This window comes from Homo sapiens, chromosome 13 (genome assembly GCF_000001405.40).
Source record: "Homo sapiens chromosome 13, GRCh38.p14 Primary Assembly".
Taxonomy (NCBI): Eukaryota; Metazoa; Chordata; class Mammalia; order Primates; family Hominidae; genus Homo; species Homo sapiens.
Window position 1 is genome coordinate 66814689 of NC_000013.11, and position 26349 is coordinate 66841037.

The 26349-nt window shown below is 34.4% G+C and overlaps 1 protein-coding gene and 1 long non-coding RNA gene across 6 annotated transcripts in view; one reads left to right on the top strand and one right to left on the bottom strand.

Moving 5' to 3' along the window:
- Window positions 1-26349, bottom strand: part of PCDH9 (protocadherin 9) — a 927503-nt gene that overhangs the window by 511855 nt on the left and 389299 nt on the right. The window lies entirely within an intron of this gene.
- PCDH9-AS2 (PCDH9 antisense RNA 2) overlaps window positions 10481-26349 on the top strand; it is an 89863-nt gene continuing 73994 nt past the window's right edge. The window contains exon 1 of the long non-coding RNA NR_046527.1: window positions 10481-10548. This is a non-coding gene — a long non-coding RNA (PCDH9 antisense RNA 2). The remainder of the gene's footprint in view (window positions 10549-26349) is intronic.

The following is a 26349-nucleotide window of genomic DNA, read 5'->3' on the forward strand; positions in this document are numbered from 1 at the left end:
GGATAACTAGCTAGCCATATGCAAAGATTGAAACTGGACTTCTTCTTTACACCATATTCTAAAATCAACTCAAGATATATTAAAGACTTAAATGTAAAACCTAAAACTAGAAAACCCTTGGAAGATAATCTAGGAAATACCATTCTGGACATAGGACCTGGCAGAGATTTCATGACAGGGACACCAAAAGCAATTAAAACAAAAACAAAAATTAACAAATGAAACCAAATTAAAATAAAGAGATTTTACATAGCAGAAGAAACTACGAACAGAGTAGACAGACAACCTACAGTATGGGAGAAAATATTTGCAATCTACACATCCCACAAAGGTCTAATATCCAGAATCTATAAGTAACTTAAACAAATCAGCAAGTAAAACGAACAAAAACACAAATAATCTCATTCAAAAGTGGGCAAAGGACCTAAACAGACAATTTTCAAAAGAAGAGATACACACAGCCAACAAGCATATGAAAAAACATGCTCAACATCACCAATCAATAGAAAAATACAAATCAAAACCACAATGAGATACCATCTCGCACCAGTCAGAATGACTGTTATTAAAAAGTCAAAAAAATAACAGATGCTGGAGAGTTTGTGAAGAAAAGAGATTGCTATACACTGCTGGTGGAAATGTAAATTAGTTCAACCATTGTGGAAAGCAGTTCAGCAATTTCTCAAAGAATTCGAGAAATCCCATTATTCAACCCAACAATCCCGTTATTGGGTATACACCCAAAGGAATATAAACTGACCTCCCATAAAGACACACGCACAGGTAGATTCATTGCAGAACTATTCACAACAGTGAAGACATGGAGTCAACCTAAATGCCCATCAAGAGTAGACTGAGTAAAGAAAATGTGGTACATATATACCATGTAATACTACACAGCCATAAAGAGAACAAGACCGTGTCCTTTGCAGGATACTGTAGGCCAGTATCCTAAGTGAACTAACATAGTTACAGAAAACAAAATACCACATGTTCTCACTTATAAGTGGGAGCTAAACATGGACTACATATGGACACAAAGAAGAGAAAAATAGACACCAGGGCCTACTTGAGGCTGGAGGGACAGAGAAGGGTGAGGATCGAAAAAAACTACCTATCAAGTACTGTGCTTATTATGTGGGTGGTGAAATAATCTGTACATCAAACCCCTGTGATATGTAATTTAGCTATATAACAAACCTGTACATGCACCCCGAACCTAACATGAAAGTTAAAAAAATAACCAGCTTCAAATGCACTAGATCTATAAATTGAACTCTTAAATTAAATTAAGAACAAATATTACATTGGGCTTGTCCTCCTAATGTTATAACATAACTCTCTCTAATACAAATGCAGTTACTTTCCATGACATTATTTCAAAGTTTAGGCAAAAGTTCATTGAGTGCCACTAGGCATTATGACAGGTGCTTTACATAAATCATTCATGGAAACAAAGCAATTCTAAGCAATTGTAATTCCATCTTACAAACTGGAAAATTAAGGTGTGAAGAAATTAACTATTCCAAATACATATAAATGTTAAATGTGCAGAATGGAACATAAATAACTGCACACTATTTCCAGGACACTGTGATCTGGCCCTAGATTAGATGGCACAGGTGTTTATGAAACAAACACACTAAAGCTAAACCTGTCCTAGATCAGTAGGATTATGATCAATTGATAATATAGCCCAGGTAGAACCCAAGTGCATGAATATGGGTACGCACACAAGTGGCTTTTTCTCTCTCTCTCCACCTCCCCCCACACACACTCACACTCACCATTCACAGTCACAATACTTTAAATTTATTCCTTTTTTCTTATCTAAGTTAGCATTAATGTTCTCTTCCTACCCTCTCCAGGCTTGTGCACATCCTGAAGACAGCAGGAGGATAAATTCCTCTTTTGGTATTTCAAAAATTAGGTGTAATATCACAAATATTTTGGGTCGGGTGTGGTTTCTCACACCTCTAATCTCAGCACTTTGGGAGGCCAAGGCAGGTGGATCACGAGGTCAAGAGTTCGAGACCAGTGTGACAACATGGTAAAATCCCGTCTCTACTAAAAATACAAAAAGTAGCCGGGCGCAGTGGCATGCACAATATTTTAAATCCCCGTGGATTGAAATTATGTTAAAAGACACAAGTTTTTGTAAAACAAGGTTTTTTTTTTGGTAAGTGGTGGTGTGTTGATGGTATTGCATGTTTAAAGGATAATGTGAGCTGACTATAAGTCAGCCCTCCTTATCCACCAGAGGGTTCTGCATCCTTGAATTCAACCAACCAACTGTAGATTGAAAATATTTAAAAAAAAAAACACCATTAAAAAATACAATAAAAAATAAAAATTTAAAAAGCAATATAGCAAACAACTATTTGCATAGCATGTACATTGTATTAGGTATTATAATTAATCTAGAGATGACAAAGTATATGGGAAGATGTGTAAGAGTTATATTCAAATACTATGCTATTTTATATAAGGGCCTTGAGAATCCTCAGATTTTGGTATTGCCTGGGGTCCTGACCCCATTCCACAAGAGCTGCATAACATATTAATGAGGTCACAAAATTTTGGAATTTTATTAACTCCTTTAAGAGAAAGCAGTGTGCAGAAGACATACTGTAAAGGATACTATTTTATTTAGAAATTTTAATTTTTATAAAATGTGTTCCCTCTCATTCTCTTTCTGTTTGATACATATTACTGAACTTGTTTCTCTAATGAACCCTTCACAATATTCTACAGCATGTCTTACAATACTCATAGATAGAAACTACATGAGCATATAAATACCTTAGCATTTTCTATTTTTGATGATAATTTTTATAAAATATCATTGTAATATTTAATACTTAGACTTTCTTAGTAAAATCACCTTAGTAATTTCATACTAATGATATTATGCACTTAAATTTATTTTCATTTATTTTTATTTATTTATTTACTTTTTGAGACAGAGTCTCACTTTGTCACCCAGGCTGGAATGCAGTGGCTTGATGTCAGCTCACTGCAACCTCGACCTCCTGGGCTCAAGCAATCTTCCTGCCTCAGCCCTCCAAGCATTAACAGCTGGCAACACAGGTGCATGCCACCACCCCCAAGTAATTTTTTGTAGAGACAGGGTTTCATCATGTTGCCCAGGCTGGCCTTGAACTGCTGAGCTCAGATGATTTGCTGGCCTTTGCCTTCCAAAGTGCTGGGATTACAGGAGTGAGCCACCACACCCGGTCTGATTTTTATTTTTATATAGATAAATATTTGATCCCAAGAATTATTTTTAAGATTCTAAAGAACTATCACACTAGGGGCCAAAATAAGTACATACAAATAAATCACTGATGCTGATTCTAAAATATACAGACTTTCCCCTCAACGGACAGTTTTAATTGGCTTTCTTCATTAATAACACTTTCATTTTAGGACAAATTTTTTATCGAGGTTTGAATTCTTGACTGGTTTCAGCATATTAATTAAATTTAAGTGTATAATTACGTTCCTTTCTCCTAGCCATGGGCAGATTCACTAGCTTGGGCAAATGAGAAAACATATATTTTAATTAAAATGTGTAAAAAAATAAGAAGGACTAAAAATTCCATTTTATATTTGTATTGCTGTTTTTAAGTGGTGTTTAAGTTATTCTGTTTATTTTTTCAATTCAAAACATTTTGATAAGGTTTTTCAGGAGAGAAGGATTTACTTCAAATCCAAATTTAATTAGTATTTAACTTTTTGTTTTTAGAAAAAGTGTTTATACAGAATAAACACAGAAAATGACATCTTAAACTCATGCTGTGACATAGTATCTGCAGAAAAGAACATGAAAAAAATTAAACTCAAGAATATATAAAATCAATAGACTAATTAATAACATTGTAGTCTCCTTCCACACTGTAAATCCTGGTCAAGCCAGAAATATAAGACAAATCAGTATTTTCTGTCAAAAAGGTGTGATGGGCCAGGTGCGGTGGCTCACGCCTGTAGTCCCAGCACTTTGGGAGGCCGAGGCGGGCGGATCACGAGGTCAGGAGATCGAGACCATCCTGGCTAACACGGTGAAACCCCGTTTCTACTAAAAAAATACAAAAAATTAGCCGGGCGAGGTGGCGGGCGCCTATAGTCCCAGCTACACGGGAGGCTGAGGCAGGAGAATGGCGTGAACCCAGGAGGCGGAGCTTGCAGTGGGCCGAGATCGCGCCACTGCACTCCAGCCTGGGTGAAAGAGCTAGACTCCCGTCTCAAAAAAAAACAAAAAACAAAAAACAAAAAAACAAAAAAGGTGTGATGATTTATTTCAAATGAAAATCCAAAAGGTTTAATTTAAACTTAAAATGGGTGTCAATATGCATGATGACAACAAAATAACCTACAAAGAAGGGGTTCATGAGGGTAGCCAAAACCAACAGATATATTCCAGCTCATCAGGTCCTCCAACTGAGCATAGGAAAGATAAAATGCTTGACTGTGAAAATCATATTCTAAATACAGAAAAGAGAAAGCACGAGAACCATTGGTTTGTCAAATTTAATCAGGTGCCCAAATCTTAACAGGATGCCCACTCAAGCTTTATTACTTATGTACCCCATTGTAAAACTTTCCACTTGCTTCCTCCCAAAGTAATTGATGAGGAGAAAAAAAAAAAACCTTTCAAAAGGTATTTTTGCTTGACTCTTTATTTACTAAAATGAATAACCTTGGAAGGACCTTAGAGAAGGGCTTGGGATTTGATTACCTCCTCATCTGTAGTCCAGATGAGTTGGGGATAATGACTTTTACTACGATAAAAAATATGATATCTTTATTATTGGAAATGATTCAATGAAAGGACGACACTTCTCATTGGACTTTCAGGGAGTCCCTTAAAAATAGTTAATTAGGGAGAGTATCTGTTGTAACTTTTGAAATATGCTTTTGACCAGGCATAGTGGCTCACTCCTGTAATCCCAGCTCTTGGGGAAGCTTAGGCGAGAGGACTGCTGGAGGTCAGGAGTTAGACACCAGTCTGGGCAACAGAGTGAGACTCCCATCTTTACAAAAATGAAAATTAAAAAATTAGCAGTGCATGGTGGCACCTGCCTCTGGTCCCAGCTACTCAGGAGGCTGAGGTGGGAGGATGACTTGAGCCCAGGAAGCCCATGCTACAGTGAGCAGTGATAATGCCACTGCACTCCAGCCTAGGAGACAGAGCAAGACTCTCTTTCAAAAATAAATTAAAAATAAATAAATAGGTTTTACAATAATCTCTTTATTCTAATTTATTAGAAAGGGTAACCATGATGTTCAATAGAAAAGATAATTATGGGTACTTTAAACAAAAGAATGCTTACCTGTTACTCTTCATTGGAAGTAATTTTTAAGATAAGTATGATATAATGAATAATCAATAAATTTTTATATTGAATTTGTTCCATACATTCCATATATTAGGATACAAATATATCCTAAATATTTTGTAAATATTTAGGTTAAAATGCTTATCTGACTTTTCAATGACAAATTTAGTCATCAAAAAAAACACAAACATAAGCCATATTATACACTATGCACTGTATTAAATACTACTGCAAGATAAAAGCAGGTTTTGGTTTAACTTATTATTTCTCCTACTCCTAGAAGGATATTTTTAGTCGATACCCCTAGATTTCTATCTTCTGTTTAACTTATTGAGTATTAAAAGAAAAAGTAACACTTATACACTGTTGGTGGGAATATAAATTAGTTCAACCATTGTGGAAGACAGTGTGGTAATTGCTCAGAGTCCTAAAGACAGAAATGCCATTCGACCCAGCAATCCTATTACTGGGTATATATCCAATGGAATGCAAATCATTCTCTTATAAAGACGGATACATGTGTGCATTTGTTGCAGCACTATTCACAATAGCAAAGACATGGAATCAACCTAAATGCCCATCAATGATAAACTAGATAAAGAAAATGTGGTACATATACACCATGGAATACTATGCAGCCATAAAAAAGAATGGGATCATTTCCTTTACAGGGACATGGATGGAGCTGGAGGCCATTATCTTTAGCAAACTAACAGAGGGACAGAAAACTAAATACTTCATGTTTTCACATATAAGTACGAGCTAAATTATGACAACACATAGAGGGGAGCAACACACTAGGGCCTGTTTGAGGGTGGAGGGTGGGAGGAGGAAAATGATTACGAAAAATAACTAATGGGTATTAGGCTTAATACCTAGGTGATGAAATAATCTGTACAATGAACCTCCATGACACAATGTTTACCTCTGTAACAAACCTGCTCATGTTCCCCTGAACTTAAAATTTAAAAAAAATTTAAAAAGATTCCCTCCTTTGACAAAATTATTCTATTCATAAGCTTCGAATACCAAGTTCTGATTATAGAGCAGATTCAAATTGCACCAAATTTCTAGTTATTTACATTTTGTAAATGTTTTATATCACTAATGACTTTGAATTCTCTATTATACAGTTATAAGTTAAAGGTGGAAATGTTGATCTCCATTTTTATGTTCAGCTGAAAGCAGTATTTTACACTAGATAAATAAGTACGATTATGTTTTCTCACTCAGATCCTTCTTAGACCTGTGGGTTAGGAAAAAAAATGAAGATACTTCAGAGGATCAGAAAGAAATAGGCAACAAGAGGAAAATTGAATCATGGAAATATAGTAGCTATTTCTTTTTGAACCTTACAGAGTAATAGGGTTTATATAAACATAAGCTAAATGGACCATTTTATATCCCTCTGAGACATTCTGGGAAGCCAAACTCATAAGAGTCATACTTCACTAGCAATGGTACAACATATCTCCTACCAAGTACTTAGTCAGTATTCATAGAAAAAGTCAGTATTTTAAATGGTATTCTTAAGAGAGTAAGCCAGACCATTTATTTTCTGGAAGAAATAAATTTGGAGTGGTAAATGATGCAGGAACTTTTTTTTATTAAGTCATCCTAATTTCAAAGTAGTTCTACAAATTCTGTGTCCAGAATCCCCAACTTAAGAATAAAAATACCTATTAATTGTTTCATACGAAATCATTATTCTTATGCAAGGATTCCTGTGGTTCATTCAATTCCCCATGTGCCTTCATACCATAACTGGAAATAATTAGCAACATGTCTGGAAGATTTAGCTAAGAAACATGTTAATTTTGCCTGGAGACAGTTCTTTTATCCTGCACATTCATTTTCACAAATTTCTTACTGAGTTTCTCAATGTGATTTTTATGTCAACTGACTACTCTGTAAAATAGCTGTCTATATGAACATTGCTTTTGTAAAATGTTGAGAGCTGTTTCTTTTATTATTGAATTTGATGCCTCAACCTATATCAGGATTTTTAACACATTGGTACACATCAGCATGATTCAGCTCAGTAGTCCCTTGACTTTCCATTCTTCAAGAGTTACAACTATATAATAAGGTTGACCCATCACACACGCGCACACACACACACACACACACACTCATATATAGACATAACTACTAAGATTTTCCACTTATATATACATTCATATAAGATTTAATTGTTTCATGTATTTATTTGTTCTTGGCATGCAGATGTCAATGTTTACCATGCTCTCACATTTATATATAATTACTAGTAAATCAGACATCTCTCATTAAGTTAAATGAAAGTTAAAATGAACACGTTTTATGGATTACCAATATTGATACCAAAGTATGAAGAAAATACGTTCAGTTTGTGACATGTTCAAAGTCATTATAAAAGATGTTTCCATGATGTAGTGCTAGAGCTATACTAAACAATAGACTCGTCTGAATTTGTGATGTCCTGGAATTTTTTTTTTTTTTTTTTTTTGAGACGGAGTCTTGCTCTGTCACCTAGGCTGGAGGGAGTCTTGCTCTGTCACCTAGGCTGGAGGGCAGTGGTGCTATCTTGGCTTACTGCAGCCTCTCCTCCTGGGTTCAAGGGATTATCTGGCCTCAGGCTCCCAAGTAGCTGGGATTACAAGCATGCGCCACTACGCCTGGCTAATTTTTGTATTTTTAGTAGAGATGAGGTTTCACCATGTTGGCCCCTGACCTAAAGTGATCCGCCTGCCTCCACCTCCCAGTGCTGGGATTACAGGTGTGAGCCACTGCACTCGGATGATATTCTGGATCTTTAAAATCATTAATATACTTACACTCTTATTATATTAAAGGGATATATATTAAATAAAAACAATTGAATTTTCTGAATTCTGGATAAATATGCGGTATCACATATATACTATATAGGAATTGCTAATATATTTGTGTATAAAACTCTATTTTAAAATGTTAACTTGTATATGTATTTTAATAGATACAAATATTTTATGTAGTTTTTAGATATCGTAATACATAATTATACATATATTTAGAAAAATAAGTGAAAACTTTCAATTTATGCAAAATTATTGAGAAATAGAAATGTAGTCTATCTCATATTCTCCATTAGGTTATAAATTTAACAGTACCAAAGTTGTACATATTAGAGAATTTATTTTTAGAGGCCAAACAGAAAAAAAGCAGTTCTACTTTTTTATAAATATATGCATTTATACATTTTTAGCTGTCCATAAATATTAAAGTGTAAGAATTGCCTTTTTGATGACCACACCATTTTCATATAATGTATCTAATAAAGGCAGCATCTTGAGTCATGCGCAATTTTTTTAGGAAAGAGAGAAGAAGGTAATAAACATGTACTGAACTACACTAACAGTATAAAATATAAAGATAAATTATATTATAAAGATAATATAAAGATAATTACTTCAAAATATTGAATTTGCAGTATATATATGCAGACACTAATATATATCATGAACATGCAGGCAAAAATAGACAGAGTTTTAAAAGTAGACATTTCACAGTATAGGATGAAGATGATAATTTGCAAATGGCTCTCCTAGGACATCTTTATATAAGTTTAATTGTGAATGATAATGTATGGGTTTTTCAGGAAAATTTATTGGTTTTTGAGATACGGCTAAAAACTTGTCCTGTCCTCAAAATGTATATTTGGTTCATCTCAGCATTGGTGCTATAAATTAAATATTCTAAATAATTCAATATAGAACTCATACAATTGTCCACAATGTTTATTGTACATTTTATTTTCAGACCATAAAAAGGCTTGTTCTAGTAAACAAAACTGATTTTTTGACACTATATTAGTTAGTAAAAATGTCAAGTTTTTTGTTTCCTTTTCTATGTAGTTGTCACATCAAATGTGTTCATCCATTCAACCTAAACTTATAAAACATCTAATATTTATAAAGCAGTCTACTTAGGAAAGTACTATATAGATTCCAAAATTGAATGAAATCTAAACTTGTTTTATAGAGCCCTACTTATTTTGTATCAAAAATTTCTTTCATAACTTACTGTACAGTCAAAATTAATCATCTCAATAAAGAGCATTTTAAAAAGTTTTTCTCCTTCATAGAAAAATGGAATCTCCTTTAAGCATATTAAATCTACTTAAATAATTTAAATCTATTTTAGAAATACTTGTCTTAACTAATATATTTTCAAAATAATTTGTAAATTTATCCTTATTGATTTGCCAAAGACAGCTAGAGCCAATTTTAAAATTTTGCCCTCATTTGTTTGAAAGTATATATATATATATATATATATATATATATATATATATATATATAGTTAAATGTTAAAAACAATATTAAGGCCCAGCGCGGTGGCTCATGCCTGTAATCCCAGCACTTTGGGAGGCCAAGGCAGGTGAAACACCTGAGGTCAGGAGTTTGAGACCAGCCTGGCCAATGTGGTGAAACCCCGTCTCTACTAAAAATACAAAAATTAGTCTGGCATGGTGGCAGGCACCTGTAATCCAGCTACCCGGTAGGCTGAGGCAGGAGAATTGCTTGAACCCAGGAGACAGATGTTGCAGTCAGCCCAGATAATGCCATTGCACTCCAACCTGGGCAACAAGAGCGAAACTCTGATATATATATATATATATATATATATATATATATATATATATATATGCACACACACATATATATATACACACACACATATATATATATACACACACACATACATATAAGTCCAATCATCAGATGTAGAACATTAAAATTCAATTTTCAACTCAACAAAATGATCAAGGTGAGACAATGGAGCGTATTCCAGAAATGTCCCTAGTGAAAGTCTTAAATCTGTCTAAAAGACTCTATCCTCATAACAGGAGAGATTTTGTAGCTGTTTTCGTGTCCCAGTGCCAGGTATCTCAAGCTGCAGGGTATTTCTCTTACCAGCATAGGTGCTAAATTGTGAATCAGGGTTAAACTATGCAAGAATAAAATATTTCGAAAGGTTTAAGATGTCCGTATTGTTAACAGAAATAGCATGTCATTTTAAAATTTTAATTTAAATTAATTCTAAATGTATTAGCATTCTTTAAGAATGTAAAAGAGAAAAGTGGTTCTAGAATGTTCTCATTTTATTTAGTCTGCCACTGAATGACCACAGGAAAAAAATATATATATGTATATATATTTTTTCTTCTTCTTCTTCTCTCGAACAGGTATGTTTTTCTTACCGTATTGGGGTAATATTAAGAACTTGTTGTAAATCGTATTGTATGAACTGTAATTAACACTAATAGCATAGTGTTATAAAAACTTTTTTTTTTTTTTTTTTTTGAGACGGAGTTTCGCTCTGTCGCCCAGGCTGGAGTGCAGTGGCGCGATCTCGACTCACTGCAAGCTCCGCCTCCCGGGTTCACGCCATTCTCCTGCCTCAGCCTCCCGTGTAGCTGGGACTACAGGCGCGCGCCACCATGCCCGGCTAATTTTTGTATTTTTAGTAGAGACGGGGTTTCACCGTGTTAGCCAGGATGGTCTCGATCTCCTGACCTCGTGATCCGCCCGTCTCGGCCTCCCAAAGTGCTGGGATTACAGGCGTGAGCCACCGCGCCCGGCCAAAAACTTTTAAAAACTGTAATACAAGTTTGTGAGATTATCTGTTTAGCTAATAAAAATTACAAAGGAAATGATAAAAGTAGGCATGTTTCAAAACAAAGTCAACATGATAAAATTCTAGTTTCTCACACATCCAACAACTACTCTACATGAATGCAGTGATTCAAGAATATGGCTGATAGACAAACAGCTTGATGCAATAAATGGTGCCGAAATAACTCACAAACTACATGGCATTATAGAAGAAGGTTATTCCTAATTTTTTTAAAAAAGAATGATAGTTTTTTTTGCATATTGATCGCAATCATTTGGTGATACATTAATGCTTATCTTTAAAGAAATAATAAATAAAAAGTAACAATTTTATGTATAAATTTATATTTTCAATACTGAATTAAAACCTAAAGACTTCCTAAATATTTCAATGAAAAACTACCCAAAGAATGAATATATTTAACATTCCATAATCATTTTTATGGTGATCTGAAGATAATTTGCATATTAAGGACTATATTGTATAACATATTCAAAAACTTAAAGAAGTCACTCCCTGTGCCTGTATCCACCTCAGAGTCATGGAATGGATTCCAAAATGGCACAATGTCAGAAAAGAAACAAAAATGGTTTCCAAGACTGCTTATCAAAAATATCATTCTCCAGGATTCCCTAGTTTTTGGTTTTTTGGTTTTGGTTCTTTCTTCTTGTGGCTTATGTTGATACATTATAAAGGCCATGGATAAAGTTACAGTCCATTAGTAAAAGAGATAATATAAAGAATGTAGGTTTTTGAGGTCAGACATATCTGAGACAAAATAGTTCTGTCACTAATAGTTGCATGACATTAAATAATTTAATTAACACCTGTTAGGCCGTTTGCCTGTATAATTGGAATAGTATATTATTTTACTCAATATATATTTATGAGATTACTGTGTCCTTGCCAGTACTGTGAATCCAGGAAATGATTCAATGAACAGGGCAAGTGCTGTGACCTTAGTGTGGTGAAGGCAATAAGATAGTAAAAAAAATAAAATATTAGTGTTATATGAACTATGAAGAAAATAATACAAAACTAAAGAGTGGGAAGAAAGGAAGATTTTAGAAACAGAGTCAGAGAAGATATTTTTGAGGAAGTGGCTTTGAGCAGAGACTTAAAGGATGAGACTAATCATATTCTGGACAGAAAAAACAACAGAGAAACTTGGAGGCTGTAAAACCTTGATTTGCTAAAGAAACCAGCTTTGGTTTCAGCAGAGCAATTCAGAGGATGTGCTAAATTAAATAATGACTCCTCATCCCTACAACCTGTAAATGCTACCTTATATGACAAAAGGGACTTTGTAGATGTGATTAAGAATCTTGAGATGAGGGAATTATTCTGGATTGTAAGGGTGGAATATACTTGTAGTCATATGTATCTTTATAGCATGGAGGCAGAGGAAGATTTGACTATAGAAGAGTGGTAGGAGACATGAAGCAAGAGGTTGGAGTGATGTAAATAAGGGGTCAACAGCTAAGGATGCAGGAAGCAAGAAAAGGCAAGTAATTGATTCTCCCCATAACCCCCAGCAGGGCCAAGCCCTGCTGATATCTTGATCTTAGCTCAGTGAAACTGATTTTGGTCTTCTGACCTCCCTCACTGTAAGATAACTTTGGTTGTTTTAAGCCATTAAGTTTGTGGCAATTTGTTACAGTACTAATAGGATATTAATGCAGAGGAAAATGGCAAAAAAAAAAAAAAGAAAAAAAAGAGAAAGCTTAGAGAGGTAGCAGGTACCAGATCACTTGAGGCACTATAGAAGGATAATAGTGAAGAAAAAAAATAAAGGCTCTCAGAGGCTTCTATAATACTCTAAGCAGCAGATGGTTATGAGTTGGACGTGGGTGGTGGTGGTGTGGTGGCTGAAGTGAGGGAAAGTTTCAGGCACCTGCTAAATTTTGAAGGTGGAGTTGGCAGGACTTGTTGATGGTTAGGATATATGGAGTGAAGAAGAAAGCCTTCCAAACACCTAGAGCAACCAGGTAATTTTGCATCATTCATGAGAGATGGATAAACTTACACAAAGATTTTGACAGCTGGTGGAAAGAAAATCAGAGTTCATATTTTGCCCACGATCAACTGTAAGCAGTGGAGTCACTTTAAATGTCAACCGATGGGTAAGGAAGACTCACCTAGAGGATGACCAGGGACAAGGAGGATGATAGTCTTTTACATTCCCAATCCCTATGGGATACTTAGAGATATACCACAAAGGACAAAAGATAAGAAACTTACCCCAGGGATTACATATTTTCTTAAAATGCATTAATTAAACAAAAAAGTTACCTATTATTCCTTTTTATCTTGTTAAAAAATATAAAAATAGATCGCATCTTCTCTCTGTCCAGTTTCTTTACATATAAAATGACAAACATAGCCACTGAGAAATTAAATTCAAACTGACATGTGAAGTAACATCTAAGAAAAGTACTGGCAAACAAAATAAAAGAAAAACACAGAATACTAAGTTTAAAACGTGAAAGTACTAATAACTAATTTATAGGGCTGAGCATCAATGAAAGTGTAAGTGAAAATCAGTAACCTCACAGAATAAGAAGGTAAATCAAGGCACTGTTTGGAACTTCAGAAGTTCTATGTGATAGGTAATTTTAATCCCCAAAGCATGATAATTTCTGCATTCCACTGATGTAACCATTGCAGAAGAGTGACATGAATTTATAACCATAAAAAATAAACCTCTAAAAAATACTAATGACAATATTACTGACAGGAATAACAAATACTAGATTTACCCCCACTTATCCAGAGTACATGCTTTTTCTACCACTATTCATATCTCTCTTAATTGTGTCACTTAATTGACTTTTCAAGGTTAAGCCATGGGCATCTATAAACAATACTGCATATCATAAATCATCCTGGAAAAGCACTGTTTTTTAAAAGTCTATCAGACAGTACACAATGTTTTAGAACAGCAGAACAAAGCTAAACTAATTTAAATGTCCATAAATCACTGTCTTGCCTTGGTAAATATTAATATATTAAGAAAAAGAGACAGAGAGAGGGAGAAACATAGAATAACAAAAACATTTCAAAAATACACTGAATAACTTATTAAACATAATTTGGAGAATTACAATGATTGCTCCTTAAATTTTGTTGTAAGCCATACATAAAATAATAATAATAATAATAATAATAACAACAATGTGGGGATAAAAAAAGTTCATATTTATATATATATGAGCAGCATTAAAAGTATACCTTCTGCCACACTCAGATTCAATAAGGATGTTTATCTCTATTAGGTGTTATATACAACCATATAAAGGAATTGATAATGGCATTATTGAAAAAGAAAGATTCTGTGGGTCTTTTTTTGTTTTTTTGTTTTTTTGTTTTTGAGACGGAGTTTCGCACTTGTCCAGGCTGGAGTGCCATGGTGCGATCTCAGCTCACTGCAACCTCCGCCTCCTGGGTTCAAGCGATTCTCCTGCCGCAGCTTCCCGAGTAGCTGGGACTACAGGCATGTGCCACCATGCCCGGCTAGTACTGTACTTTTAGTAGAGATGGGGTTTTTCCATGTTGGTCAGGCTGGTCTTGAACTCCTGACCTCAGGTGATCCACCCACCTCGGCCTCCCAAAGTGTTGAGATTACAGGCGTGAGCCATCGCTCCCGGCCGGGAATCTTTTTAAAAAGCAGAACCAAAAGATTACAAACTATAAAATTATATTTATGACAAGAAATATATAGTTGGAAAAGGCAAAAAATATGGGGACAAAAAACTAGTGTTTACTTGGGTTGGACTGGGATTGGGAGAGGGGTTGACTACAATGGAACTGGAGAAAATTATTGGAGTGATGTGGTGATAGTTACATAACTGTATATATTTGTCAAACATATTAAATACTGAAAAGGGTGAATTTTACTGTTTATAAATTATTTCTCAATCAAACTGACATTACGAAAAGTAAAATAAATATAAATTTCATGAATGGCGTGAACCCGGGAGGCGGAGCTTGCAGTGAGCCGAGATCGCGCCACTGCACTCCAGCCTGGGCGACAGAGCGAGACTCCGTCTCAAAAAAAAAAAAAAAAAAAAAAAAAAAAATTTCATTTAGAATATTGAAAAACTATAGATTTTGTTCTAGAAATCTGGGGTTCTATAATTTATTTCAAAATACAAGTTTTTAGCCTATTTTTAACTTATCAAATCTTTCTTCAGAAATCCAAAGTTTGGATTCAAAAATAGCTACTTTACATTTGACCCTAAGGCTAACACATGTAAAAATTATATAAAAGAATAGAAAATTGTTCCAACTTTTTTTCTTTAGTTTTGAATTTGTTGAGGTAAGCAAAATAAAATAACAACAATTTGGTCTAGCCAAGTGATAAACATTACAAAAACGTCAATAAAACCTAATGTAGATAAAGCCAGTGCAAACATTTTCAGCTATAAAGAAAAATATGCAACATGAACTTCGATTCTCAGTGGCTAGCAGCATTCCCATAAAATATAATTTTAGTAATAGAAGTAGGAATGTATTATATTACTTCACATTATATTCTCTTCAATATAATGTGAAGTGAAATGAACACTAGCTGATTAGACAGGTGGCTCACACCCATATGACTGTTCAACCTGGACTTGGCTTTCTAAAGTCTAGAGGCTGCTTCATTTGGGGCACTTTGGCTGATTTGTCAGAGGTCATTAACGCTGCTTCATTACTGACTGCTCCAAAAACAAGCAGGTCACACTAAATTTGTTTTCATAAATAAACAACATCTCAGAATTCTCAACGTTAATAAATATATTCTAATTAAATATAATGGAAACTAAAGATGCAACATTAATACATGCATATGCTTACGTACTGGGCACATATAACTAAAAGTATCAATTATATTTACATTATGAGAAAAGATCAAGAAATTAAGTAATGAATTATGAGTCAGTGGGGATTTAAATTAAGGCCTGTTACCTAATTGTAGCTGTCCATATAGTAAAATTCTTAAGCCAGTTCTAATAAATTCAACATGCATTAATTTTAGCTATTTCAATTTAACCATGGCCAACAAATATGTAAGTCAACTCAGGATATTTTAAATAAAGAATTACATGGTTGATTATTTTTCACAATTGCATAAACAACTTAAAAAATTTCAGGGGGGTCTAGAAAGAGAAGGAAAGAATGAATTAAAGGTATTAGTATATATGTAAATTAGATCTAGGTAATATTTATGTTAAATTTTAACTTACTTTTTAAGTTTTATATTACACAAGTTTTGTCCCTGGGGCACAAGTGCCATACTGAAAACACTAATAGAAAACACATAAAATGTGAACAGCTGCAGTTATTAAAAATATCCCTTAGGGTAGGTCAATACACAGACATGAGTTTATATCATAGCTTGTTACATACAGACTCTAGGAGGTTTAAGGGAAATATGAGTTATAGAGAATCAGGCTCTCCATGGACAGATGCATCTACAGATAAGATTCAAATTAATTCTTGGGCAGTAGTGTCTCTTTCTGTCTTACTGATCTTTGGTGCATACTAAGTTGTTGACTCAAAGTGTATTACTATTATTTCTATTGGCTTGTGTGCAGCACTTTGCATTTTGAAAATGCATCTACAACCTCTTTTTTGTTTCTAGCTAAAAAGCTCTTTAACATTGACAGAGTACTGCCTGAGATGTGGCTTCTGGACACCAATCTTTCCTAGAAATTAAGCTGCAATAAGCAGGCATTGTTTTACTTATCTTTCATATTCTGAATTTTTAAAAGGGAATTCCAGAGTGATAGCAGCTGTGACAAGCATACTAATTTGTATTCACCTTTTGTGTTTATTAGCTGGTTTGAGGAAGTGAGTCAGGAAGATGACACCGACACAAACAGAAATAAAACCTGGATGTCACATGGTGTCATATTAAAGCCGAGAACATTTAAAAAGCAGAACAGCCTAATCTTCAGTTAACCTCTATTTAATTTTCATAAACAGAATTTCATCTCAAGCACCAAATTAAAACTGAGGCTGAGAAATGAGCCTGTATATTAAGATGTGTCCAAATCAATTGTTGTCATGATGAGTTGCTGGTTTTCAACCTCAGATTTATAATGTGAGTCACCAGGTTAGTATTTTGGGGTTACAATTAGTGGGGAGCATTTAAGTATGGATTTTACCCTAGTATAAGAAGATGACACTCAGCATCTGGGACAACACTGTTTATAGAATTACAAGTCACAAGTGTAATAAAAACTGTGGAAAAAAAAGTGCCAAAATGTCTGCATAATTCCTTATAAATCATTTTTTTAGGGGACATAACATTGGGAAATGATTTCAAATACATTCTTTGTCTTTTCCTACAGCTGTGTGCCTGTATTGGGTACAGACCAAAACATAGGAGGCCACTACAGTTTTCAGAGTTAAAGGATGACAGTAACTAATCAACTACCTAAAAAAATTTCTCTTTGACATAATAACAGCACAACCAGGGAACATTGCTAGCTGAGAGGAACAAAATTCAATTCAAGATTAAAAAATTAATGATTATAAATAAAAATTGCATAGTTTGTTTTCAACAGAACTGGAATTTATAATAAATGTATGCCGTATGACGTTTTATAGAGTTGAATTTACTCTATTTAAATGTGATTAATAACTGAAACAGAATTAGAATATTCTTACATTTAGTGAGGTATCTAAAACACACTGCAAAAATTTACACACTTTAACTCTCTAAAATACCACGTTTTTCCCTACATTTTATCTTGAATAATGATAAATTATAATAATTATTAACACTTTATAGACATTTATGCAAAATCAAATCTCTACAAAATATGAATATTTTATAGAAATATTTTTCAAACACATCTATATATGTGTATATTGAGTATACACATGCACAGATATGCATGAATAAGTATATTAAGAATGAGTAATCGTTATCCATTTACAACCTCATTATATATTTTCCTCCATATGGGATGATACCATCTGGATACATTTAGGTTACAATGCATAAATGGCTTTCCCAAATATTCAATAAAACAAAATTTAAAATGTATATATTTTTCCGTGATTGGAATCCTATCAAATAGCTGTTAATGTCAATTCAGAGATGTTTAACCATTAGCTTAAATCAGATGATTAACAAATGTTTCTCTGGTCCTGTGCACTACCAAGATCTTGAGTCACTATGATACGATACCAGTTATATACTAATCATAAATAGCACTGAACTTATTTCTACTACCCCCTGTATTCCTCCTCTACTACCTATACTTGCAGATGGAACCAACATGCCCCAAATTGCTCTGGCTCTGAATCTTAGTGTCCCACCTCTTCACATCATAACAGAATCAGCTGTCAACTCTATTTCTATCTCAAAGTTTTCCTTTCTTTTCATTCTCATTGTCCATATTTTAAATCGTATACTCTACCATGTGGTCTCGTAGCCAACAAGTATTTACCCTTCCTAACAATCCTGCCCGTTAATGCCAGGTACATGTACCTTGAGGAGAGCTATGCTGCTCTAACCTTGCTACTCTAATGTTGTTACTGATTTCTCAGAGTAACATTACATAATATGCCCAAACTTATTTCCTTTCTTTCTTCTAACAAAACGGGACTGAATCTCTTCATTGGATTCCATATCTTGTCTTGTTCACACTGATACCTTTGACTTCTCTCGGTCCTTTATTTGTATTTCTATATGTGTAAATTCAGCTTGTTTTCAGTCTGACATGCCAGCTCCTCCATACATTTCATTTGATCCTCTTTCCACCCCAGGGCAGAGGGTACCCTAATATTGTCTTCCTCACTCACTCTGTACGTCTCTGGTACATAACATTCTATGTTTTCTATACTGACAGTGTAGCTGTCCTTCTTATTTAGGGAGTGGAATCACATTGGAATTGGGCACAATTTCTCATCTTTGTAGTCTTCACAATGTCTAAAGATTATATTTACAAGGGCATGTGATAGAAACCTAATTTTTAATGGGTGAATAATTGAAATATAGTAATTTTGACATTTCTCCCTATTTCTTCCTATAGTTTGAGTTTAAGTTAACAACTTCATATAGAAAAAAAATCAAATGTTTGCAGAATAGGCATTTATGAGTATATGATCATTAGTTTCCAGATTTAAACCTTGGAGAGGACGAAGAAACCAGTTTTATAAATTTGTAATTTAAGCAAATTATTTACTGTGCTATTTAGGAAAATATGGATAGTAGCCAATCAGTGACAGAAATGACTTGTCTATGACCTGTGCTGGTTGAATAGCTGATAATGAGCTGGCAAACACTGAAGTTCATTGAAACTGCTACCAAAATATCTGTTTCTATGGGGAGAAAAAACTTTTGTAGAATGAAAAAAATCTAATTTATAAATCAATTTTTTGCAATATGGCACACTTCATATATACATAATCTTTATACATTGATGTCCCTTCAACATTTGTTTGGCAACTTGTTATTTGTTATCCTGAATATAATTTTATATACCTATGGTCTTTTTTTTTTTTTTTTTTGAGACAGAGTCTCACTCTATTGCCAAGGCTGGAGGGCAGTGGTGCAGTCTTGGCTCACTGCAAACTCCGTCCCCCGAGCTCAAGCAATTTTCATGCCTCAGCCTCCTGAGTAGCTGGGATTACAGAAGCCCACCACCACATCCAGCTAATTTTTGTACTTTTAGTAGAGACGGCCAGGCTGGTCTCAAACTGCTGACCTCAGGTGATCCACCCGCCTCGGCCTCCCAGAGTGCTTGGATTACAGTCATGAGCCACCACTCCCAGCCCCTGATGGTCTTTTGGTTTCTGAACTTTTCAAGGAATGCATTTTATACAACTGTACCCAAAATTACTATTTATAGATATCTTAAACATTGTAGAATCTCACAAAAACACTAGAATGCTTTCGAACCCTTGGACATTTGCTTTGAAGGAAGTACAAGGTAGTATACTGTATTGTTCATATATGTAGCTATTTAACACTAACTGTAAGATGCCAATTCATTGCACATTGGGGAATCTAAAAATTAACCTTTCTGGTTGTGTTTCAGCTAGAACACTCTATGAAAAGAAATATAGCAAAGAATCAAAATGCATAATGTTTACTCAAATGCCACTAATATTTAAATACATCTGTAAGTGAAGCTTCCTACTGATCCACTTAACACTTCAGCAAAAGGCTAATGAACCATGGAACGCTTTGCTCCTCTTCCTAACCTGGATGCTATGTTTAAGAGAATGCTCTCTTTTAAGTAATAGCAGGAATACTATTTAAGTTGAGGTCAGAAAATATCTATCTAGTTAGCTAAGTTTTAAACTTAAAAACAATAACCTAAATAATTGGGACAGATCCATAATCATTACAGAAGTTTATTTACATATGCAGGCTTTACTGGGCTTGGTTCTGTGGAGAGACAGAATCCAAGGACAAGGCCTGGTATGTCCTGAGGACTGACTACCAAATTGACATAGTCACTGAAGACAATCGTCAGCCAGGCCTAGTTCCAATGGGAAACAATTTCCTCTGGCAGCTTTTAAAGTCTGTTTTTGTAGGAAATTGCCTCTTGGAGCATATAAAGCTAATTCATGGCGGTTCCCAGAACTCCCGCACACCCGGCTGGAGCTCCCCTGTGGATGAGGCTGTCTTGTTGACATAATCGAGCTCGGCTCTTGGCAAAGCTCCAGCTGTTTGTGTGGAGCCAGTCAGATTAGGCTGAAAGCCTCTAAATCTTCCAAAGTGTCCCCAGGAAGGGAATATAAAATGGTGATGGTGATATGGCAAGACCCAGGGAACACAGCAAAGTCACGACATTTGTATTTGGGTCTGTCATTGTGATTAAATAACACAGAATTTGTTAGTAGATTTAGCAGAGGTCACGACACAAAAGTGATGGATGATCTGCAGTTCTATTTTTGCCCACTGAATCTGTGTTATATGCCGGGTTAACTTTTCTTTGGGGATTTGTTATGGTGCTACAAAACCTGTCCTCCTGCTAACCACCCAACAATTTTTTTTTATGCTAGAATGTCTATAAACATCTGAATTAATACATTTACAACCAATGGACTTCATTTCTTTGGCATGAAAAGTATTAGAAGACTGTTATATATTATACAACTGAAAGAGAGGACTGCTTTTAATTTGACTATCCTCTCCCCATTCCGTTTAATACATACTTATTAAAGATTGTCAAGGGCAAAAAATGTTATTTACCTCAATTATAAAAAGCAAGCATGAAAAAAACTTAAATATGACCCTAGACACTTAATTTGAGATAAAAGTTAAAAATCAAAAGCATATCATTTTAAAATATAAAAGAACCAGCATATCTTTTTCCAGGTGTGAGAAATACCAAAGTTTGAACATTAAAGTAATATTAAGTGAGTTGAAACATGAGAAACAAAGAAAGCAGCAGCTATACACAGAATAGATAGAAATAAAAATGAGAAAAACATTTAGTCACATGGGGAAACAAAGTTGAAATAAAGTGTATATTTGTTTGAATTTGATATTGTCCACAATAGTGGACACTGAAGTTCAAAACAAAAAGCAATTTCTCTTATACTCTTGACCCCTCTTTCTCGATAATCAAAATCTGACATGAGACCTCTCCCCAGTAGTTTAGGATAAATTTGACGACTGGAGATTCAATAATCTTTATGTTATCCAAATTTTACTAACTATCCTTCTTTTATCATATTCCTTCCTTGTTTAAATATTATTTTCATGTATTTTTTTAAAAAATTACATAATGTTCCTTTTGTTTGAAATGTCTTGCTGATACCTAGTCTTATCTGCCTATCAAACTTGACCCTCTTAATAATTCCGTTCAATTTCCTTTCTTTGTTGTATCTTCACCTCAATCCTACACTTAACAGGAGCAGAAGTTAAATCTATTCTCTGTGCACCTACATCAGCACTCATTTCACTAAGCAGTAATTTTTACTTTTAATCTGTGTTATCCAACAAAAACTGAGCTGTTTGAAACCAGAAATGCCATTTTCCCCAACTTTTGCTATATTGTTGTCTAGAAGAGTTTCTAGGGCTTTGTGGAAATTGAGTAATGTTTCCTAATAAATCCATCAGGGACTTGCCTTGTTTCTGACTTTCCGTATGTTACAATCGGTGGGTAAAAGTAAAATCCTCGGTCAGATTTTCTTTTCTTGAATTCCAGATCTCTGATGTACCATCTGGAATAAGTGACTTTTTTGAGCTTCAAAACTTTCCTATAAAATAGTCTACCTCATGTAGTTCTACCAGAGGAATAACAGCGCTCGAGTACAAAATTTGCTTAGAAAAGCTCCAGTATTTAAAATGTGCCCAAGTATACGCTAAAAATCAGCACCCTCCCCATCACCTCTTGTCAGCATCCACATAAGAGACCACCTGTGTGGAAACAATGAGGATTTCCTTGGCATATGTTCTCACGCATGGATGGAATTGCTAGGTTATAGAACATGCTGAATTTCTGAAGGTCAACTGCTTCAGCTTGCACTTTTGAGGTATACTGTTAGCTGATGCTTTTTATTTTAAAAATTTTCTTCCTTAATTCCAAAATCTCCCCAAAATGAGTTCTCTTTTGAGTTTCTCTTTATTTTGTACTTAATAAATACAGAGCATTTAAAATTTCCCAGGTCCTTTTCTGAATGTTCCACGAGTGTTAATTCCCTTGGTCTTCATGAAGTAAGGTACTGTTAGTGGCTTCGTTTTACAGTGGGGAAAAGTGAGGAATGAAGAAGTTAACTGACCTGCCCACAACGAGGCAAAAACATACGGTGGAGCGGGAGCAGCCTGGCTCCAAAGACCCTGCCCACGACCGCTGCGTTCCTCTGCGCCAACTCTGAGTTGTTCTGCCTTTTTAATGACTTTACTGCCCTCCTTTCCTTTACTCTCTTTTCCTTGTCCCTTTCTGCTTCCCTTCTCTAAATTAAGTAACGAGGAAGGGAAGGAGGAGAACAACACTGTGTAGGGGACAGAAAACTTTCATTTCTTTCTGTTCTTATTTCCAATGTCGCTCTGCTCTGATTCCTACTAAGAAAAAGTGCAAAATATTTCAATTCTTTATGCCCAAATGACTTTCTCGTTAAAAAACGACCTTTCCAGTCATCTTTGTGTAACTATGAGGTATTGGTAATATTTTCATCAAATAGGCTTCAAGGAGATAAAAGCACTCCCCAGGCAATAGAGTTTCAGGACACAACTGCCAAACACACACCCAGGGGAATGAACACAGGGTTTCTTCCTCTCCCATTTCAATCAAAGAGTGCCAGGAAACGCAATGGTAATAAGAAGATGATATAAATGAAATTGAACACTAAATTTTCACTGAAATATAAAGAAAAAAATTTAACATCAAAAATTAAAATTAAAGCATAAAAAATTTAAAATGAAATTAATCCACTATATCAAATTTTCCAGTTTTGTACTTTTTACCATGACTTCCAGGTTTCTAAATATGTATTCATGTTACAGAACATATATTTCATTCTATAATATTTTTTTCTCCCCTTTATTCTTCTGCAAACCTCAACAACTCATTACAGTCTAACTGGAAAGCTATTTCCATTTTCTTCTTGAAAGGTCTCTTTGGGTACACTGTAGACATTTGAGAAATGTAGACCAGCAAAATCAACTGAGTAGTACCATGCACATTACACTTAATATTTGCAGGAGTATTTTTATTTCCCTTAATCTTTAAAAATATTCAATTCTTTTTTTAAAAAAAAAATTCATTGTCAGTGCAGTTATTTGGAAAAAAATAAGGTCTGAATTGTCTATAAATAAAATAAATACTTTGTACACATTCATATATCCATTAAGAATAATGTTAAATTTAGCCAGGTTTTCAAAAGAGAACCTGCTCTGATATTAATAGCTAAAATGTATTTGATATATTTTACAAGCTTTTGTTCTACTTCATTAAAATTAAACCAATATTAACACAATTTTTCATGCTAGCATGAAAAACTCTGGTACATAAAAACCCATGTGAATGTTTGCATTTTAATATTACAGTCGAAATAAAATGTATGAGTTTATAGCCATGTCTTATTACAAACACAGTTAAATATAAGTGTTGTGACTTTATTCTTTTTTTCATTTAAAAGGAAAACATGATGTACTAGAATTATTTAGAGCAACTCATTTCTCTCTTCTGCTTATAATGTATGATGCACTAATCTCTAGTAACAGACTTTTATTCAAAAGGGAGAAACGATCACTTTAAAAATAATGTCACTTATTTAAATAATTCAGAACCAAAAAAAGGCACTGCAAATACATTTTGAACTAGTGCAAAGAAACTAACTCCCTCAAATGATTATCCAATCTGTGCTTTTGTAAAGTGAAAAACATAATAATGAAATTTTAATCAGTTTCCTAATACATTTTGTATAAACATTATTTATTCCAAAAGACAGAGTATTAAAAAAACTTTAAAAATAATATTATAAAATTTTCAACATACTGATGTTCAAAAATATCATCTTATAGAATATTCTGAGATATATATATATAATATTATGTAACTTATTAATGTGCAACAATCACTTTGTATTTTTTAGGTCCAACTAGACATCTCTCTTTCTTGCACTCCAGTTTCTTGCTTCTGAAAAATTACCTTACATTGTCTCTAGATATCTCAACAGAATTTCCAAGATATGATGTCCCAATTTTAAAAAATGTATCCCCAAATCTATCGTTTTCTTTTCTCTAGTGTCTTTCCTCTTTTACTAATGGCAAAGCATTTCTAGTCAGTCAGGCTACAGATACCTAGGTCATTTTCTAGTTTTTGCTTCATACTTCACGGAGTGTGGCAGCCAGTCACGCCAGCTACGCCTCTGAAACGTCTTCCTGTGCGATGGGTACTTGCAGTGGCCTTTGCCATTTTCTTCTTCAGTTCAGGTATCTTACCTGCATATTTTAACAAGCTTTATCTTCATCTCCCTGTCTCCACTTCTGCATTTTCAGATGTACTTACTATCATATTATCAATCATTTTTCAAAAATACCTCTCTGATACCGTCAGTCATGCAGTCCTCTGCCCGAGTTAGCTAATTAGCCCTTCTTGTCTCCACCAGGGCTTAGAGTTCTGATGTGCATCGTAAAGCTCTTGACTGGTGTGCTATCCCACCTCCAAACACTTGTCAATTATTTTTCACTGCCACCCTAGTCCTCACATTCTCAGGGATTGCCTGGGGTTCTGAAAAAAACTGAAAAGAATAGTTGGAACTATGAAGTAGCCATTCATCATATTTTCTGATTCACAACTATTCAAATATTCTTCTTTCATATTTTGCCTTCTTGATCTGACTTCATGAGACTTTTGCCTAAAAATCTTAGTGCCATGGACACTGCATTTGGGCATCTCACTCCACCTGGACAGGTTGTTGGCCATTCCTAGGATGTGGTCAATTCCCTTAGCCCTTGTGGTGCTCTGTTCACACCATCTCTTCCCACAATAGTCAAGCCACTGAGGGCCCAATATACCCATACAAAAGTCTGTTAAACAATATTAAAAAAAATCTAGCACCATTTTCTGAATACTGAATATATCCTCTAATATGGAATCAACTACTCAAAGATCTTTTATATTACATTAGAAAGGTAGTATTTCTTTTCAAAGCAAAAACTGGCTCTTGAATAGAGTTGTAATCAGAATTAGATAACTTGGAGATTCCTTTTGCATTTGCAAGTATTTGGAAAATAAAAATATAGTTAAATATTCAAATACATCTTGACTTATTCATGGGCATTGATATGTTTATGTAAGGTTAATTATTTAATCAAAATAATTTAAAATAATTTGACAAGAGAATTATACAGAGAACCCTGTTTTATTTAACGTATCTATCTTATTCTGTGTAACCCTTACTATATACAATCATGTAACGAAGTTAAAGATAAAACATTCTCTACTAAATAACTACCAGAATTTTATATTGACTTGTGCAGCAACAAAGCACTTGCAAGGAGGCAAAAACCTAAACTGTTGAGAGAATGGGAGCTGTGCTATAGGAATGGCTCTAATTTCACTCTAGTAGGGCAGTTTTTCCATATGCTACATTGAGTATTTCTGTTGTACATCTGTTGCATGACAAACATAAAATGGTTGGGTTCACTATCAATTATAGGCTGGAACAAGTAAGATTTCAATTACAACAGGAGAGCAAAACAGCTGGGAAATCCCCGAAGGGAGGTGCAAGAACCAAGGGGGTGAAGCAGGCATCATAATGGTACATTGCACACTACTAATTAGAGAGAGATGAAGTCAAGTTAAAAGAAAATATACCCCTGGATGCTCTGTTTTGTAGAAGCCATTTGGGTACTGAAAACGGTACCTCGGTGGCTTGTCTCTCTGAATTCTCATGTAATTGTTGCCTC